Source organism: Homo sapiens, chromosome 1 (genome assembly GCF_000001405.40).
Source record: "Homo sapiens chromosome 1, GRCh38.p14 Primary Assembly".
Lineage (NCBI taxonomy): Eukaryota > Metazoa > Chordata > Mammalia > Primates > Hominidae > Homo > Homo sapiens.
The window spans coordinates 149072507-149091611 of NC_000001.11; the positions used below are offsets into that span (position 1 = coordinate 149072507).

Here is a 19105-nt window from a genome sequence, read left to right on the forward strand (position 1 = left end):
TCAAGGGAGGAGGGACACTTGCAATAATGTGACCTCCAACCCCATGGGTTTCCCATCTCCGTTCTTACCCAAGAAGTCCTTGTCATGTCATGGCCACATAAGCTTAGTGGAAAAAAACACCATTGATACAACTGTCATTGTGAAAGTATGGAGGTCTGGAGCCTCTCATAAGCCTGGGGTTTTGGGTCAACAGGGCCTATGGCCACCTTACCTGGGCTGAGCTTTTGGACAAGGTGCTGTGCCAGTCTACACCCCTCAGCCAGCTGTTCTTGGAGGTCCTGCCCCTGGGACTTGTCCGGCTCATCCGGAGTGAGGAGGGCCTGGAGATGCTCATTCAATGAGCGGGAGGCATCTCTCCCTTCCCGCAACTTCTCCCTTAACTGGGTCAGCTCTCGTTCCTGAGCGTGAACCAGGACTTTATATTGCCTAAGGTGAGATGGTAGAGAAAAATTAAGAGTGGAAAGGGTTGAGTGATCCGCTCAAATATTGCAACAGAGATTTCTGAAACAGTGTCCTCAAGGAGACCTCGAAGCAGAAGGTCAGCACATGTTTAAAGGAATGTCTGTGGCCAAGAGAAAGAATAGAAAATGGTTTACAGGCTTCCTCTGTATCAGAGAGGGCTCCTGCAAGATCCTCGATGATGTTCCATTCATCTTTCCCTTCTGTAAACAAAAGTAGGTGTTTTCCTAATTCCATTTCAAAAAGACATCCTTTCAGTTCCTCACTCTGGCCATGGACATTTCCATGTGAAAATACACATAGTGCATCTTGCGGCCACTAGATACAAAGCCATGTACAGAAATGAGGCCAGGGGCAGATGGGGCGAATTGAAAAGACGAAAGAAGAAAAGAATGACAGGGTCGAGAAGGCAACATTGATTGAGTGAAAGAATGAGAAGCCGCAGTCAGTCAGGAGGTGATTGTCACTAAGGGTAAGTGGGGTGGTGATGGCACACCATTTTGAGTATACTGAATGCTGCTGTGTGGTTCACACTCCTTTGGTTAATTTTGTGTTATGTAAATTTCACATCAACAATTACTTGTTTGAAAAAGAGAAAACAAGGCTCTGAGAAACAACTGCAACCCATACATTTTTATTATCCTTCTTCTCTGTTTGATAAATATTTGTGTGTAGCGAGCCTGCCATGGCAATTCCTGCCCTTCCCCTGGCCCAGCTTAGCTCTTACGTCTCCCCACCGAGCTGCTGTACTTCAGAGATTTACACACCTGCCCCCCTGCCTGCCCCCATGGGGTCCCCTCACCTGAGCTCCTCAGCTTGCTTCAGCTGCTCTGCAAGCTTCTCCTCCTTGAACTGTCGCTCATTCCTCAGCATAAATTTTATGAGGTCTTTACACTCTTCATACTCTGAGAAAAGACAGACACGCCTGCCTCAGTGGAAGGCTGGACATGCTGCTGTGGTCACTGCCTACAGGGCAGGAGCCAGGTCCATCCCAAGGACAAAACTCTCCCCAGTACCAGGGTCTAGACAGGGATTTCCACATCTTTACTCTTCAGTCTCCTGACTTTCTGGCATCTGATCCTCCAAAATTTAAAGACGAAGAAAGAGAACCTCAAGGGCACATCAAGGAAGTTGACAAGATGATTCAACCACAACGAAGTGGAGTCAGAATTCACAGTCCCTGAGGTCTGACTCTGAATGCGGGGCCACTTTCCCAAGCTTTGCAGCCTCTCCTCTAAAACACTGCACTGGGGCATGAAGTAGTGATTTCTTGTACAGTCGGGAAGGCCCCTAGGACTATGGGACTGATGGTTTCCCTTTTACTGGGAATTTCAAGGACAAGTATGCGAAAGATTTTTTAAATCTTTGATTTTTAAATCATATCTTCAGTTATGATTTTAAGAATCATATCTGAAGCATAAAATGTGACACATAAGACCATAAGGCCATGAAGGAAATATGCCCAAATGCTAATAAAGTTTGTGTTAATTTAGAAACAGCAGAATGAAGAACTAATAGATAGTGTTTACTCTGTGCCAATAAATGTTCTAGGAGACTGACAAGAAACAGCTCATGTAATTCACTGCAGCAATTTACAGAGGTAGGTATTATTGTAGTACCCTCTGAACAGGTGAGGTAACTGAGGGACAGACAAGACAAGCAACTTGGATGGAGCCCAGGAGACAGGCCCACGGTCCCTGCTCTGTACACTGCACTGCTATCTCCACACATTCTCGGGTGCGAACTTTCTTCCTCTTTAGCAACAAGACTCTGTGCCCCAGGAAGCAGGACTTCACTCTCACCAAGCTACTCTCTGCTTTTTATTCTTATTTTTATTTATCATCATTATTATTATTATTATTATTTTTACCAGTCTTGCCCTGTCGCCCAGGCTGGAGTGCAATGGCAAAACCTTGGCTCACTGCAACCTCAGCCTCCTGGGTTCAAAGGATTCTCCTGCCTCAGCCTCCTGAGCAGGGGTGATTACAGTCACCTGCCACCACGCCCATCTACTTTTTGTATTTTTAGTGGAGATGGGGTTTCTCCATGTTGCCCAGGCTGGTCTCAAACTCCTGACCTCATGATCTGCCCGCCTCAGCCTCCCAAAGTGCTGGGATTACAGGAGTGAGCCACCATGCATGGCCCCTACTCCCTGCTCTTGATGCTGTCATTTATAGACAGCACAGGTTCTATTAGGAGTAGACTCCTCTTGAAGCCCCTCAGAGCAGGTACTGGCTACTATCACCAAGTTTCCCTCAGAGTCACTAGAACAGAGCTTTGCCTGTTGGGCCTCAACAGAAACTTGAACTGAATAAAAGTTCACTAGTCTCAGACATTTAGAACAACAGACTAGATGTTATTTGTCTGCAGGATCTTATATGGTAGAGAGGATTCTTGAAAACACGATTGAGCCTCTTGGAGAAAACAGGTCATTCTGTGCCTGTGTCAGAAATCAATAAATGGCAGTTTAACTCTAGTCCCACCCCCACCTGATTGCAAACATGGAAAGTTGCTAAATACTTTGGTACCTCTGTCTTCCAACTTTGACAAAATGTTAAAATACCCATTTCTGTTTTCCTAGAAGTATGGGGAGGATGACATTATTTTTGATGGAGAGAGCACTTAGTTCCTCAGAGAGAAGACAGGACGTCGTTCATCACTTTCGTGATGGTGAGCCTATAGATCTTACTGTATTTGTTCTGCTGGTTGGCCAGGAAGCCGGCCAGTTGAGTTAGAAAACATTTCTCTTTGAGGTTTCTGAACTGCTGTTTCTTCTCTGCCAGCTGGGGGCGCAATTTCTCATTGATTTCTAGAATGTTCATCTCTGCCTTCTCGCTGGACAAAGGGCCGGCTGATACCACCATGCTGACGTTTGTGGCAGAAGAGGTGGGGCCAGGGACTGGGGAGAAGAAAGGCAAACACATGATGGGTTAAAAACTGGTGAAATCAAATAGGCTTAATCAGGACTGAGGGATGTCACTGGCAGCCTTGTTTACTTATTTGAAGATGTTGTTTCCCTGGTTTCACTCTTGTCATCTCCAGTCTTGATCTCCTTTAAGTCAACTTGTCTTAGCTATGCAGTCACCTTGAAACCAAGACATAAACACTTCTACACTTTTCTTGCTTATACGTTTCTATAAAGCAAGGCTTGGCCCTGAGATTTTTACCCCATGAGTGGCCAATGTTTCTGTGTAGCACAAAAGATTTCATTTTGCTTTTTTAATTTTTTTCTTTTTTGGTTTTTTTGTTTGAGACAGAGTCTCACTCTGTCACGCAGGCTGAAGTGCAGAGGCACAATCTCAGCTCACTGCCACCTCTGCCGCCCGGGTTCAAGTGATTCTCATCCCTCAGCCGGCCAAGCATCTGGGATTACAAGGGCCAAGTAACATGCCAGCTAATTTTTGTATTTTTAGTAGAGATGGGGTTTCGCCATCTTGGACAGGCTGGTTTCGAACTCCTGAGCTCAGGTGTTCCGCCCACCTCGGCCTCCCAAAGTGTTGGGATTAAGATGTGAGCCAGCGCCCCTGGTCAGAGACTTTATTTTTTTTTTTTTTTGAGATGGAGTCTCGCTCTGTCTCCCAGGCTGGAGTGCAGTGGCACAATCTCGGCTCACTGCAAGCTCCGGTTCCTGGGTTCATGCCATTCTCCTGCCTCAGCCTCCTGAGTAGCTGGGACTACAGGCGCCCACCACCACGCCCAGCTATTTTTTTTTTTTTGCATTTTTAGTAAAGACGGGGTTTCACCGTGTTAGCCAGGATGGTCTCAATCTCCTGACCTCCTGATCCACCCACCTCGGCCTCCCAAAGTGCTCGGATTACAGGTGTGACCCACTGCGCCCAGCCGAGACTTATTAATAGCTAAGACAAGCCAATGAAAAGGAGAGAGAGTCTAGCCTGACAGAAGTGAATGAGGGTGGGAGGATCATCTCAGCCCATCCTCCCACCTAAGTCTCCTGAGCAGTTGGGACTATAGGCATGCAGCACCATGCCTGCCTAATTTTTTGTGTTCTTTGTAAAGATGGGTTTCACCATATTGTGTAGGCTGGTCTTCAACTCCTGAACTCAAGTCATCGTCCCACTTGGGCCTTCCAAAGTGCTGTGATTATATGTGTGAGTCACAGCACCTAGCTCCATCCTAGTTTCTGACTAAAACAATAACAATATGTGTATATACAGCCTGTCCTCAGAATTGATCTTCCATAGCCTAGACAGAGGTATGAGACACAAGGAAAATAGAGGCTACCTGGGAGAATGTTTAGAGCATCCTGACATTCATCATGAGAGGATTCTCTGTCTACAACCAGAGTTGAGTTGACTTCGTCTTCCTCAAATGTGATTTTGATGTTCTTGTGAGGCTGGTTGGAGTCACAAGGGCCGTGGCTATTTGAACAAGTGATGGCACATTCCTCCAGTGAGTCCTCAGCGACTTTGCTCTCTTCAGCCTTCTGCACCTCCCTGATGAGCCAGGTGGGACAGAGATGACAGAAGATTAAACACAGAGGGATTGGACCCCAGGGAGTACTAGCTGGTTTTGACAGGCGGCATTAAGAGAGTGGTTCCAGAAAGCAAAACGGAGGTTCCCTTAAAGAGGGAACAGGCAATCCTCTTCTCTCTGCAACAGACCATGGCTGCCATGGGAGCCAGAGAGGAAGAGAGCAGCTGGTGTTCAGTGCACTGGACAGATAGGAGCTGAGGAGGATGAAGACTCAGCTATCCCTGTATGGTACAGACATGACACTTGGCACACATAGAGAAACACGACAGCTGCCGCACCCTGTGTCTAAGCTGGGTTCAATTTCACATACTGTGGCCAAGGGGATGCGGGCTTTTGGCCCACCATAGATGCCAGAGAGGGTGTGCCTCCTAGACATCTTCATATGTTACCACCCATTACTTGCTCCTGAGTATTCAGTGTTACCTGGGGGCAGATGATTCCAGTACTTTCTCATCCTCCTCAACTTGAACATCTTCATCCTCATCTTCGTCATTTTCTAGAAATACAAAATGTTCATTCAGATATTTCCCACTTCACATTCTGCAAGCACAGTCAGCCCAACGTGCACAGAGACATGAACATCTATGTATGGTTCAGCATTGTACTGAAAACTCTCATGTTTTATCTTTCACAAAATGCCCTGGCATGGTTTCCTGCTCCATCGGGCAATGCATTTCTGATGTGGAGGGCCACCATCAAGATGTGGCCAAATACTGAAAAGACCTTTTGCTTCCCATATCACTGAAGGCTTGTGCAGCCTCTCTCTGGACTTTGGCAGCTGTCTCCCCCATCCTGCCACAGATCTGATTCCCAGGAACAGGCTTGGTGTCCTGTCACAGTTCGCATTTCAAACCTCATTCTTTCTCTTAGGAGAGGACAAACTTGTCCCACAGTCCTCTATGCGTCATGAGACTGCACAGGCCCTCCATGTGGCTTCTGCTGTGTTATTCAGGGACATTCTATCCATGGGGAGTGCTCCAGTCTGAAGCACTTCCTACCACCAAATGCCCCCACATCAAGTGCCTTCTCCAACACCACATGGAGAGGGGCTTCATCTCATTTTGAAAAGCATTCGTAAGTGTTCCCATATTTGGATGCTTCAGACCCTTGCAAGAGACAATTTGTCTGCCTTTGCAGATGGAGAGAGAGAAACTCTGGAAAGATAAATCACTCACTCACCGACACTTACTAAGAACATTGCCAAAAAGACAGCCTGGGAACCTTCATTCTTAGCCCAGAGCTCTTTTCACTCCAACAAGCGCCCTCCCATCACAGCCTCCTTCCTGTCCTTTAAAACTAGATAGATGCTGCCTCTTGCTCCAAAGACCACCTTCCATCAAGGGAGGAGGGACACTTGCAATACTGTGACCTCCAAACCCATGGGTTTCCCATCTCTGTTCTTACCCAGGAAGTCCTGATCGTGTCATGGCCACATATGTGTAGCAGAAAAAAACCCCACTGATACAACTGTCATTGTGAAAGTATGGAGGTCTGGAGCCTCTCATAAGCCTGGGGTTTTGGGTCATCAGGGCCTATGGCCACCTTACCTGGGCTGAGCTTTTGGACAAGGTGCTGTGCCAGTCTACACCCCTCAGCCAGCTGTTCTTGGAGGTCCTGCCCCTGGGACTTGTCCGGCTCATCCGGAGTGAGGAGGGCCTGGAGATGCTCATTCAATGAGCGGGAGGCATCTCTCCCTTCCCGTAACTTCTCCTTTAACTGCGTCAGCTCTCGTTCCTGAGAGTGAACCAGGACTTTATATTGCCTAAGGTGAGACGGTAGAGAAAATTTAAGAGTAGAAAGGGTTGAGTGATCCGTTCAAATATTGCAACAGAGACTTCTGAGATAATGTCCTCAAGGAGACCTTGAAACAGAAGGTCAGCACATGTTGAAAGGAATGTCTGTGGCCAAGAGAAAGAATAGAAAATGGTTTACAGGCTTCCTCTGTATCAGAGAGGGCTCCTGCAAGATCCTCGATGATGTTCCATTCATCTTTCCCTTCTGTAAACAAAAGTAGGTGTCTTCCTAATTCCCTTTCAGAAAGACATCTTTTCAGTTCCTCACTCTGGCCATGGACATTTCCATGTGAAAATACACATAGTGCATCTTGCGGCCACTAGATACAAAGCCATGTACAGAAATGAGGCCAGGGGCAGATGGGGCGAATTGAAAAGACGAAAGAAGAAAAGAATGACAGGGTCGAGAAGGCAACATTGATTGAGTGAAAGAATGAGAAGCCGCAGTCAGTCAGGAGGTGATTCTCACTAAGGGTAAGTGGGGTGGCAATAGCACACCATTTTGAGTATACTGAATGCTGCTAGGTGGTTCCCACTCCTTTGGTGAATTTTGTGTTATGTAAATTTCACATCAACAATTACTTGTTTGAAAAAGAGAAAACAAGGCTCTAAGAAACAACTGCAACACAGAACTTATTATTATCCTTGTTCTCTGATAAATATTTGTGTGTCATGAGCCTGCCATGGCAATTTCTGCCCTTCCCCTGGCCCAGCTTCGTTCTTATTTCTCCCCGCCGAGCTGCTGTACTTCAGAGATCTACACACCTACCCGCCTGCCTCCCCCCACGGGGTCCCCTCACCTGAGCTCCTCAGCTTGCTTCAGCTGCTCTGCAAGCTTCTCCTCCTTGAACTGTCGCTCATTCCTCAGCATAAATTTTATGAGGTCTTTACACTCTTCATACTCTGAGAAAAGACAGACACGCCTGCCTCAGTGGAAGGCTGGACATGCTGCTGTGGTCACTGCCTACAGGGCAGGAGCCAGGTCCATCCCAAGGACAAAACTCTCCCCAGTACCAGGGTCTAGACAGGGATTTCCACATCTTTACTCTTCAGTCTCCTGACTTTCTGGCATCTGATCCTCCAAAATTTAAAGACGAAGAAAGAGAACCTCAAGGGCGCATCAAGGAAGTTGACAAGATGATTCAACCACAACGAAGTGGAGTCAGAACTCACAGCCCCTGAGGTCTGACTCTGAATGCGGGGCCACTTTCCCAAGCCTTGCAGCCTCTCCTCTAAAACACTGCACTGGGGCATGAAGTAGTGATTTCTTGTACAGTCGGGAAGGCCCCTAGGACTATGGGACTGATGGTTTCCCTTTTACTGGGTATTTCAAGGACAAATATGTCAAGGACTTTAAAAATATTTCATTTTTAGATCAATATTCAGATATGGTTTTAAGAATCATATCTGAAGCATAAAGTGTGAGACATAAGACAATAAGGCCATGAAGGAAATATGCCCAAATACTTTATTAGTATGAGAGGCAGCATTAAGATTTAGATTCGTTGTGTTAATTTAGAAACATCAGAATGAAGAACTAATAGATAGTGTTTACACTGTGCCAATTAATGTTCAAGGAGATTGACAGGAAATGCCTCATGTAATTCATTGCAGCAATTTACAGAGGTAGGTATTATTGTAGTACCCTCTGAACAGATGAGGAAACTGAGGGACAGACAAGACAAGCAACTTGGATGGAGCCCAGGAGACAGGCTGAGGGTCCCTGCTTTGCACACTGCACTGCTGCTTCCACACATTCTCGGGTGTGATCTTTCTTCCTCTTTAGGAACAAGAGCCTGTGCACCAGGAAGCAGGACTTCACTCTCACCAAGGTACTCTCTTTTATTTTTATTTTTGATTTATTTATCTTTTTGTTTGTTTGTTTTTTGACGAGTCTTGCCCTGTCACCCATGCTGGAGTGCAATAGTGCAATCTTGGCTCACTGCAACATCTGCCTGCTGGGTTCAAAGGATTCTTCTGCCTCAGCCTCCCGATTAGTGGTGATTACAGTTGCCCTCCACGACGCCCATCTACTTTTTGTATTTTTAGTGGAGATGGGGTTTCTCCATGTTGCCCAGGCTAGTCTCAAACTGCTGACCTCGTGCTCTGCCCGCCTCAGCCTCCCAAAGTGCTGAGATTACAGGAGTGAGCCACGTTGCACGGCCCCTACTCCCTGCTCTTGATGCTGTCACTTATAGGTAGCACAGGTTCTATTAGGAGCAGACTCCTCTTGAAGCCCCTCAGAGCAGGTACTGGCTACTATCACCAAGTTCCCCTCAGAGTCACTAGAACAGAGCTTTGCCTCTTGGGCCTCAACGGAAATTTGAACTGAATAAAAGTTCACTAGTCCTAGACATTTAGAACAACAGACTAGATGTTATTTGTCTGCAGGATCTTATAAGGTACAGAGAGGATTCTTGAAAACATGATTGAGCCTCTTGGAGAAAACAGGTCGTTCTGTGCCTGTGTTAGAAATCAATAACTGTGAGTTTAACTCTAGTCCCACCCCCATCTGATTGCAAACATGGAAAGTTGCTAAATACTTTGGTACCTCTGTCTTCCAACTTTAACCAAATGTTAAAATACCCATTTCTGTTTTCCTAGAAGTACAGGAAGGATGAAATTATTTTTGATGGAGAGAGCATTTAGTGTCTCAGAGAGAAGACAGGACATCATTCATCACTTTCATGACGGTGAGCCTATAGATCTTACTGTATTTCTTCTGTCGGTTGGCCAGGAAGCCGGCCAGTTGAGTTAGAAAACATCTCTCTTTGAGGTTTCCGAACTGCTGTTTGTTCTCTGCCAACTGGGGGCGCAATTTCTCGTTGATTTCTAGAATGTTCATCTCTGCCTTCTCGCTGGACCAAGGGCCGGCTGATACCACCATGCTGACGTTTGTGGCAGAAGAGGTGGGGCCAGGGACTGGGGAGAAGAAACCCAAACATATGATGGGTTAAAAACTGGTGAAATCAAATAGGTTTAATCAGGACTGAGGGATGTCAGTAACTGAAATTCTTACCTTACTGTTGTGAAAAATGTGATCACTCCCACAGCACTTTAGGATCCTTCACCACAAAAACAAGGTTTGAGGTGCCTCAACTCAGAGCTGAAAGCACTGCCAGTAGCTCAGACTCTGATAAGAGTGAGGTAGATTGTGGCCAGCGTGCCAGGTAACCGTCTGCAGTTGCAATAACAGAATTAGAAGGTGGGGGTGTCATGGAATCTTAGGAGCCCTGCATTCCAATTGCCCAGGCTTTGCTGAAACACAGGCACCCTAGTCTCACCTGAGGGTCACCACCAATGGGGATCATTCCTTCAGCATTCACTCTCAGTATTCGTGTACCCTTGTGACAATGCCACAGACCCGTGTCTTTCCCAATACATCTAAGCATATTCCTCACTGTTTATCTCTTGTCTGTACAACATCATCAAGGCAGAAACAGTTTCCCAACAGGTTATATTTTCTTAATGGTAGTCATGAAGTCATAAATAAAAAAATGGAATCATTTAGTATGTTCTCTTGTTTTGACTTTTTTTTTTTTTTTGAGACAGAGTCTCACTCTGTCGCCCAGGCTGGAGTGCAGTGACGCGATCTAGGCTCACTGCAAGCTCTGCCTCCCAGGTTCACGCTATTCTCCTGCCTCAGACTCCCAAGTAGCTGGGAATACAGGCGCCCGCCACCACGCCTGGCTAATTTTTCTTTTCTTTTTTTTTTTTTTTTTTTTTTTTTGTATTTTTAGTAGAGACGGGGTTTCACTGTGTTAGCCACGATGGTCTCGATCTCCTGACCTCGTGATCTGCCGCCTCAGCCTCCCAAAGTGCTGGGATTACAGGCGTGAGCCACCGCGCCCGGCCGACTTCTCTTTACTCAGGTGGGTATATATGCCACTAATTTGTTTGATTGTGTTTTTCCCTTGTTTCATTTTGTTTTGGCCAAGTAATATCCTATTGATTGTATGATTATCACACAATTTGATATCCATTTTTCTGATGGGAGACAGGTTTACTTGATAACTACTGTGCATAAGTAACTATGAATATTCTCATACAATTATTTCTGTGAAGATACATACTTATTTTCCTGGGTATCTATAGCTAGGGATGGAGTTGCTTGGTGAATGGGTAGAAAATGTTGGACAGAGTTTTGCAAAGTATTTGTATTGTTTTACATTTCTATGAAAGATGTAGGCCATTTCCAGTTGCTCTACATTCCCACACACTTAATATTTTCAGTCTTTTAAACTATGCCAGGTGTGTAGTGATATCCTAAAATTTGGTTTTCTCATGCCTAATGTTCATTTAGATATCTTCTTATGGAAAATATCTTCTCAAATTTTTATATTCATTGATATACTGGGCTGTTTGTCAATTTCTTTGTAATAGGAGTTCTTTATATATTTTGAATGAGTCCATTTATACATACATATTTTTTGCTGTAATATATAGCAAATAATTATTCCTGGTCTAGAGATAGCGTTTAAGTTGTTAAACAACAACATAATAAGGAGAAGCTTTTTAAAAATGAAGTGCAATTCGCTTGATTTCTTATTGTGGTGAGTGCTACAGTATCTAGTCTAAGAAATATTTTCCTGTGTCAAGTTCATGAAACTATTTCCTATTTTTCCTTTACAAGGTTTCTAATTTTAACTTTCACATCTTAAGATAATTTCAACATATGATGGAGAGTGGTTAATATTAACTTTTTAAAACAACAAATATTATTTCACTCAAAATCGTTTTACTTAAAAGTCTTTCATTTCCCCAATGAAGGGCATTGGTGTCTTTGTTTTTAAAACATTTAGAAGCGGCGGTGCGAGCATGTTCTCACTCATGGGTGGGAAATGAACAATGAGAACACTTGGACACAGGACGGGGAACATCACACACCAGGGCCTGTCATGGGGTGAGGGCTGGGGGAGGGATAGCATTAGGAGAAATACCTAATGTAAATGACGAGTTAATGGGTGCAGCAAACCAACATGGCACACGTATATATATATAATATATATACACGTGTATATATATTATATATACACATATATACATGTATACACGTATATATAATATATACACACACATGAATATATATAATATATATACGTGTATATACATACGTGTGTATATATAATACGTGTATATACATAATATACAATATATATAACATGTGTATATATATTATATATATATATATTTTTCTTTTTTAAGTGGCGGAGCGAGGGCTACTGCACAGCTAGCAGAGTCGTGGCGAGGAGGACAGCACCTGCATCGAGCTCTCCGCCTCCCCCACCCACCAGCCCAGGCGGCCCCAGCAGCAGCGACCAGAGGAGCCCCTGCAGCAACGCAACGGCCAGGTGGACACCTCCATCTACAGCCTCGTGGCGGACGGGACCTGTTAGGACACGGCCATTGTGGGCAACAAGGACCCACCTTCCATCTGGGCCGCCGTCCCAGGGAAAACCTTCCTCAACATCACGCCAGCTGAGGTTGGTGTCCTGGTTGGCAAAGACTGGTCAAGCTTTGTCATGAATGGGCTGACACTGGGGGGGCCAGAAATATACTGTGGTCCTGGACTCACTGCTGCAGGATGGGGAATTGACCACGGATCTTTGTATGAAGAGCATCGGTGGAGCCCCCACCTTCAACGTCATTGTCACCATGACTGCCAAGACGCTAGGCCTGCTGATGGGCAAAGAAGGTATCCATGGCAATTTCATCAACAAGTAATGTTATGAAATGGCCTCCCACCTTCAGCGTTCCCAGTACTGACCTCCTTTGTTCCTTCCACTCCACCGCTCCCCACAGCTTTGCCCACCTTTCCTTCACATACACACACCATTTTAATTTCAGGAGTCATCACTCCACACACCTTATTGCTGCCAAAACCACATGGGCTGGGGGCCAGGGATAGATGGACAGACACCTTCCCCCACCCATACCCCTCCTGTGTGTGGCTGGAAAACTTTTTTTTGATAGATTTTTTATGAATAAAAAAGATTCTACTAAAAAAAAATCAATAACTGTACATAAGTGGGCATATTGTTTGAGTCTGTATTCTTTCACTTTGATATATTTATGAATACTTACACCATTACTACTGTTTTAAAATTACTGTAGCTTTAAAATCAGGTTTGAAATCTAGCAGAGTAAGTCCTCCAACTTATTGCTTCTTCAATATCGACTTGCTTATTCTAGGTTCTTTGATTTTCAAATACATTTTGAAACTAGCTTTCAAATTTCTCTAAAATCTCCTACTAGAAATAATAAGCAGAATTGTGTTGATGTAATATGCTAACAAAATTGAGTCTTCCAATCAATGAACATTATATATATTTATTTAGCCTTCTTTAATTTTTCTCACCAATTGCTTTTAGGGGCCTTGTACCTGCTTCATTGCATGTATTGTTAAGCATGTAATGATTCTGGCTATTAATCTCTATTATGTTTTATTGAATTTCATTTTCTAGCTGCTAATTGCTAGTATGGAGAAATTAAGATGATGAAAACAACTTTATAAAGGCATAATTTCGGTACAACAGACTGCACCACTTTAAAATGTGTAATTCAATGCACGTTTACAAATGGATACACTAACGGAACTACTGTCACAACCAAGATAGAGGAAATTCCCTATGCCCCAAAGTTTCTTGTACCCCTTTGCAGTTCATCAGCCTTTCAACCCTCAGCCCCAAGGAGCCACTGTCACTTCAGGTCCGTTTGCATTTTTAACCATTTTCTATAAATGAAATGATACCTGTGTTCTTTTGTGTCTGCCTTCTTTCATGCATCAATGTAATTTTAAAATCCATCTGTAATGTCTTGTAAATACTGAGTAGTATTCCTTCGTGTGGCTATACCATGTATGTTTGTACTTTCACTTATTATTGGACATTTCTATCATTCCGCGTTTGGGCTATTATGAAGAAACTATCATGAGCATCCATACGTGGCAGGCCAGGTCTCACTAACACAGGCCTCCCTAACAACTGTTTCAGTACCGACTGAGTGGTTCAATTAAATATTAAGAGGAAAAAAAAAAAAAAGAAGCCAGTGCCCTTATACAAAGGCTGGAATGTAACAAAAGCCCACCAAGAGTTTTGCCTAGGTTTTTCCTGGGCCTTAAAGCATGACGAAATAACGAAGGCATTCTTAACAGGAGCCATTTAGTATTAAACGAGTTTTATTGGGGGTCTGAAGAAACTCCCCAGGCCTCCACAAACAAGTTTATTGGAGATCTGAAGGGACTCTCCAAACCTCTGTGATTTAGCAGGAGACAAGATAAGGGCCCCCAGCACCTAGACCCATTTAGATTAACTGAATTTAACTGAGGTTCCAGAGGAAGGTCTTCAGGACTCAGACTTAGTTATAGATTAAAAGAAGTTAATCATTTATGTATTTAGATGAATGCACACTTCCACATACACATATAGCTTAGAAGGTACATTAGCTCAGGAAAACTTTCCAATTTTGAGTTGGTCTGGTGATAATTTCCAGGCCGTTTCCCTGTAACCAGTTGCAGAAGTCAAAACTCTCTTCCTCCCCAGTTCATCTGTGTCTCGTTACTGAGCCACGAGAAATAGCAGCCCGCCCCTCAGGTTGGTCTGGAAACACACATACAGATCATTGTGCAGACACAGTGTGTAAATTCCCAGGAATGGAATGACTGTCTATCTGATTTGTGTTATGTTTAACCTTTAAGAAACTGTTAGATTTTCAAAGGAGCCATACCATTTTTCATTCCTACAAGTATAAGACTTCCAAGTGCTTTATATCCTCACCAACAGGTGCTATTTTCAGCCTTTTTAATTTTAGCCATTCTTATGGATATGTACTGGTATCTCATTGTTGCACTGATTGATCTCCCTGATGACTAAACAGTGGAGCATCTTTTCCTATGCTAATTGACCATTCATGTGTCTTCTTTTCTGAAGTATCTAAGTCTTTTGAGAAATTGTTTCAATGTGCTGTTTATCGTATCAGACTGCAATATATATATATATGTGTGTGTGTGTGTGTCTGTATATATATATATATTCCCTATTTGGAGATGATAATCTTCAAAACGGTGAATATATATATATATACACACACACACACACACGTTTGTGTGTGTATGTGTGTATACATATATATATGTCCTAAGAATCAATTAGACATACATGTGAGTATCTATTTCTGGATTCTCTCTTCTCTTCCACTGATATATATTCCATTTTTTTTTTCAACAAAACACATAATCTTGATTTTCATAGCTGTAGAGTAATTCTGGAAATAGGTAGTGAATTCATTCACCATTATTCTTTTATAATATTGCTATTTTATTATTCTTGATCATTGACATTACCATATAAATGGTAGAATCAGCTTGTAAATTTCTACCAAAATGCCGGTTGGAATTTTTATTAGAATTGCATTGGATCTGGAGATCAATTTACGAAGAACTGACTTTTTAAACATAACAACTCTTCTGATCCATGACAAGGTTTATCTCCCCACTAATTTAGTTCTTTCATAATTTCCCAAAGCAATTTTTTGTAGTTTTTGTTGTACTGGCCTTACATAAATTTTGTTGACTTTCCTTTTTTTTTTTTTTTTTTTTTTGAGACAGAGTCTTGCTCTGTTACCCAGGCTGGAGTGCAGTGATGCGATCTCGGCTCACTGTAACCGCTGCCTCCCAGGTTCAAGTGATCCTCCTGCCTCAGCCTCCCAAGTAGCTGGACTACAGGCACATGCCACCACGCCTAGCTAATTTTTTGTATTTTTAGTAGAGATGGGGTTTCACTGTGTTAGGCATGATGGTCTCCATCTCCTGACCTCATGATCTGCCCACCTCGGCCTCCCAAAGTGCTGAGATTACAGGTGTGAGCCACGGTGCCCAGTCTGTTGAATTTATTTATAAGCACAACATGTATTTAGATGTTACTTTAAATGAAATTGTATTCTTATTTCATTTTCCAAATGCTCATTGCTAATATACAGAAATACAAAAGACCACTTATATTGAGAGCTTACATTCTGCAACACTACCAAACTCACTGATTAGTTCTGGTAGATTTTTGTAGATTTCTAGCATTGTTAACAAACACAGTCATTATCTGTGAATAAAGACAGCTTCAATTCTTTCTTTTCAATACTTTATTAATTTTTCTTACTTTATTGCATTGATTTAGAGCTCTAGTATAATGCTGAATTAGAAGAGTAACAACAGGTATTCTACTTTTTTCTCTGATTTAATAGAAAAGCATTCAATCTTATGCCATTTAATATAATGTTACCTGTGGGTTCTTCAAATCTGCCATTAATGGGGTTGGAAGTGTTGCCTTCTGTTCTCATCATGCTGAGCATTTTCTGGGGTTTGTTTTTATAAATCATGAAAAAAGTTTTCAATTTTGCCAAATGCTTTTACTGTGTATGACAAGGTAATCATACGGTTTTTCTCTTTTGCCCTGATAATATATAAAATGATATTTTTTAAATATAAAAAAGAGGCCGGGCATGGTGGCTCACGCCTGTAATCCCAGCACTTTGGGAGGCTGAGGCAGGCGGATCACACTTGTGGCAGCATTGAAGGCTTCACTCTTCCCCAAGGGATCCAATCTCCCCTCAGTCAAGAAGCTCCAGGTATCTGAACTGGATGCCAGGTCAAAAATTCCCACTATGGTGACTCCAACAGGTCTCTGTCCTCAGAACTAGAGCTTTTCTAATTATTACATAAGTTGACTTCTTAGTAGATTTCCCATCCATTACATCCCAGACACCTCACAATGATTAGTAACCACCACATGTCCCTGCCTCTCAAGGAAATCCCTCCCGCCTTGTCTCTAGACAGCCAAGTCCCACGGCCTGTCCTCTACTCTTCCAGAACCCTGTTGTTCTGACAGCAGGGAGGGCAAATCCATGCGGCATCTCCCGCCATGACCTCCAGCCTGCAGAGGAGAGGTGCCACAGGACCTTTACACGCACACCGCTGTTCCCCTCACCCATGCATTTCTTAATGCCTTGGTGAGGAGAATGCCTCTGGGTCTTCCTTGATGGGAGCTAAAGGAACAAAGGTAAATAATGCTATGGGACCCACTGAGAATTGGGGCTGTGGAAGAGTGGCCACTGAAGTAATAGACAGATGCAGCTATTGCCAGATACTCAGTGCCAGAGCAGGGAGGGAGAGGGAAGAAATACGGACCTCACCTTCCTCTCACTTCCAGGCTCCATCGGGTGCCCCCATTGCTAAACCTAACTACAAGTGTGCACACAGGGGAGCCAGGGATGCATTCTAGAAGGGACAAGCCCCAAGTGGCATAAGACAGGATGGAAATGAGTGGAGAGTGGATCTGTGGGAAGGAGGAGGGGATGTTATGGGGAAACAAAAGGAGAATACTAGCTAATAACGCTAGGTGACACTAATATCCCCAAGTCTGTGCTCATATTCGGAAAAGACAGCTCAGCGTAAAGCACTCAACCAGGAGTCAAGATATTGTTATTTTCAACTGTTGTTCCAACAGTTGTATTATAAAGGGCTAGTTTATTTCATGCCTTTCTAATTTGACATAAAGTGCTACATGGCATTGGGGCTGGTACAGCCTCGCTCAATTATGGGTTGAAGAGTACACAGAGACTGCCAGGCTGAGGGAAGGTGCAAGAGAATAGAAGAGATGCTCACAGAGAACCACAGACCGCACGGCCCCAGAGTCAGGGGCAGCATCAGCCACTGTCGGCTGCTCATTTGTCCAGACAGAGCCCACAAGCCTCAGCCATGCTTTGCTTCTGCAAGATGCTTCTTCACCTTTTCAATAAACCTGCCTGAATTAAAGCTGATGGGAGTTTATTTCTCCTTCATCATAAAAGAAATTCTTCACCACAACAATCTCCAATGAATTGTGGGCACAGAAGGCAGACCCATCCCTGCTTCTCTTCCACTATCTCCCCTGTAGGTTGAAAAGGAGGAGGTACTGAATTACCTCCAAATGTTCCTTTGGCTCTGATATTCTGTGACTCTGGTTTCTTTTTGGCTACTTTGTTTTTGGAAGCATGTATCCTAAGGCGTCCAGTTGAAAAAACTTTGTCTACTGTGTCCAGACATTCCTGGTGGTATTTCAGATAAGACACTCTTGGGTTGCTGCACTCACAACCACTGAACCAATTCTATGACCATCTGTTTCATGGCCACCTGTTTGCTCATTTCCTATGTACATAAAGGGAGGGGACAGACAATAAATTTGCATATTATAAACTGTATCATCTTAAAAAGGAAACAAGGCAATATTTTGCAATAAAACCTTAAGATGCATTAAATTTAAGCCTAATGCAATAAAGAATGCCCATAAAATTATTATCTAAAGAATGTTTAGAAAATTGTTCAACAAGGGACATCATCATTTAAAGTGATACGAAGAAAACTCAGCTAAGCATATGGGCTAGATTAGAGAGAAAAATAAAGGACCCATCTCTGCCCTGGAAAAACTACTGGTAGCATCTTTCAGAAAGCTCTCTGTGTTTGAGTACGCACCTTGATCCATAGGCTCACATTTGATCCCAACTGGCGGCTGCTTCTTGGCATTAACTTTGGATTCCCAACCAGTAAATCTTAGCAAGATCTGAGTTTCTCCAGGTATGATATTATTTTGTTTGACCATCCTTATCTTCAAGGGCTACCAAGAAGAAACAAATCATTTATTTACCTCCCCAGAGGAAAAGGTTTTACCAATGAGACACTTTCTTACCATGACCCCAGGGCCCCCATGCCCTGTTCACTTGAGTGCCCTGTGTGGCCTGAGAGAAGCTCATACTGGTCACAGGATTCTTTATATGATTAACCTCCTTCCTGAATCCCAACTTTATGGTGGTGGTGATGACAGGTATCCCATGCTCATGTCCCTGAAGTCATCAGCCTGTCTCCAGTTAGAAAAAATTACATGTATATAGAGAGGCCTCTTTGGAAGTAGCAAAAGCTTTCTCACCTTCATACATTAATGGTTGGAATGTACAATAGTATAAACACTTTGGGAAAAAATGTCTGGCATATTCTTACAGAACTAAACAACTACCTATTCTATGACTCACTAATTCCTAAGCATTTATCCAAGAGAAATTAAAACATATGTCCAGAAAATGATTTATACAAGAATGTTCATAGCAGTTTTATTCATAATAGGAAAAACTGGAAACATTCAAATATCTATCAATACAAGAATGGATCAATAAACTGTGATACATTCATTCCATGGAATGGCTAAAGGAACAAACTTTTGACACACAAAACAACATGGATGAATCTCAAAAACATTTTGAGTGCAATAGGAGCCATACGCAAAACAGTGTGAGAAAAATGATAAATAATAATGGTTTCAAGAAATGCAGAGCAGAGA

At 43.2% G+C, this 19105-nt stretch overlaps 1 protein-coding gene and 1 pseudogene across 23 annotated transcripts in view; one reads left to right on the top strand and one right to left on the bottom strand.

The window, feature by feature from the left end:
- NBPF9 (NBPF member 9) overlaps positions 1-19105 on the bottom strand; it is a 51366-nt gene that overhangs the window by 20321 nt on the left and 11940 nt on the right. For 16 of the 23 annotated variants that reach the window (XR_007060075.1, NM_001388374.1, NM_001388367.1 and 13 more), the window contains 10 exons: positions 18247-18388; positions 9766-9924; positions 9459-9668; positions 7547-7649; positions 6501-6715; positions 5377-5449; positions 4702-4913; positions 3149-3358; positions 1262-1364; positions 212-426 (listed from right to left, as the gene is read on the bottom strand). Coding sequence is in view for 22 of the 23 variants with exons in the window: in NM_001388374.1 (NP_001375303.1) it covers positions 212-426; positions 1262-1364; positions 3149-3358; positions 4702-4913; positions 5377-5449; positions 6501-6715; positions 7547-7649; positions 9459-9633 (1306 nt within the window). In the remaining variant the exon portion in view is untranslated. Of the gene's footprint in view, positions 1-211; positions 427-1261; positions 1365-3148; positions 3359-4701; positions 4914-5376; positions 5450-6500; positions 6716-7546; positions 7650-9458; positions 9669-9765; positions 9925-12173; positions 12426-17698; positions 17923-18246; positions 18389-19105 lie in introns of all 23 variants that reach the window. The other 7 variants (NM_001388379.1, NM_001388381.1, NM_001388370.1 and 4 more) reach the window with 4 other exon arrangements.
- LOC102724437 (profilin-1-like) lies at positions 11973-12752 on the top strand (annotated as a pseudogene).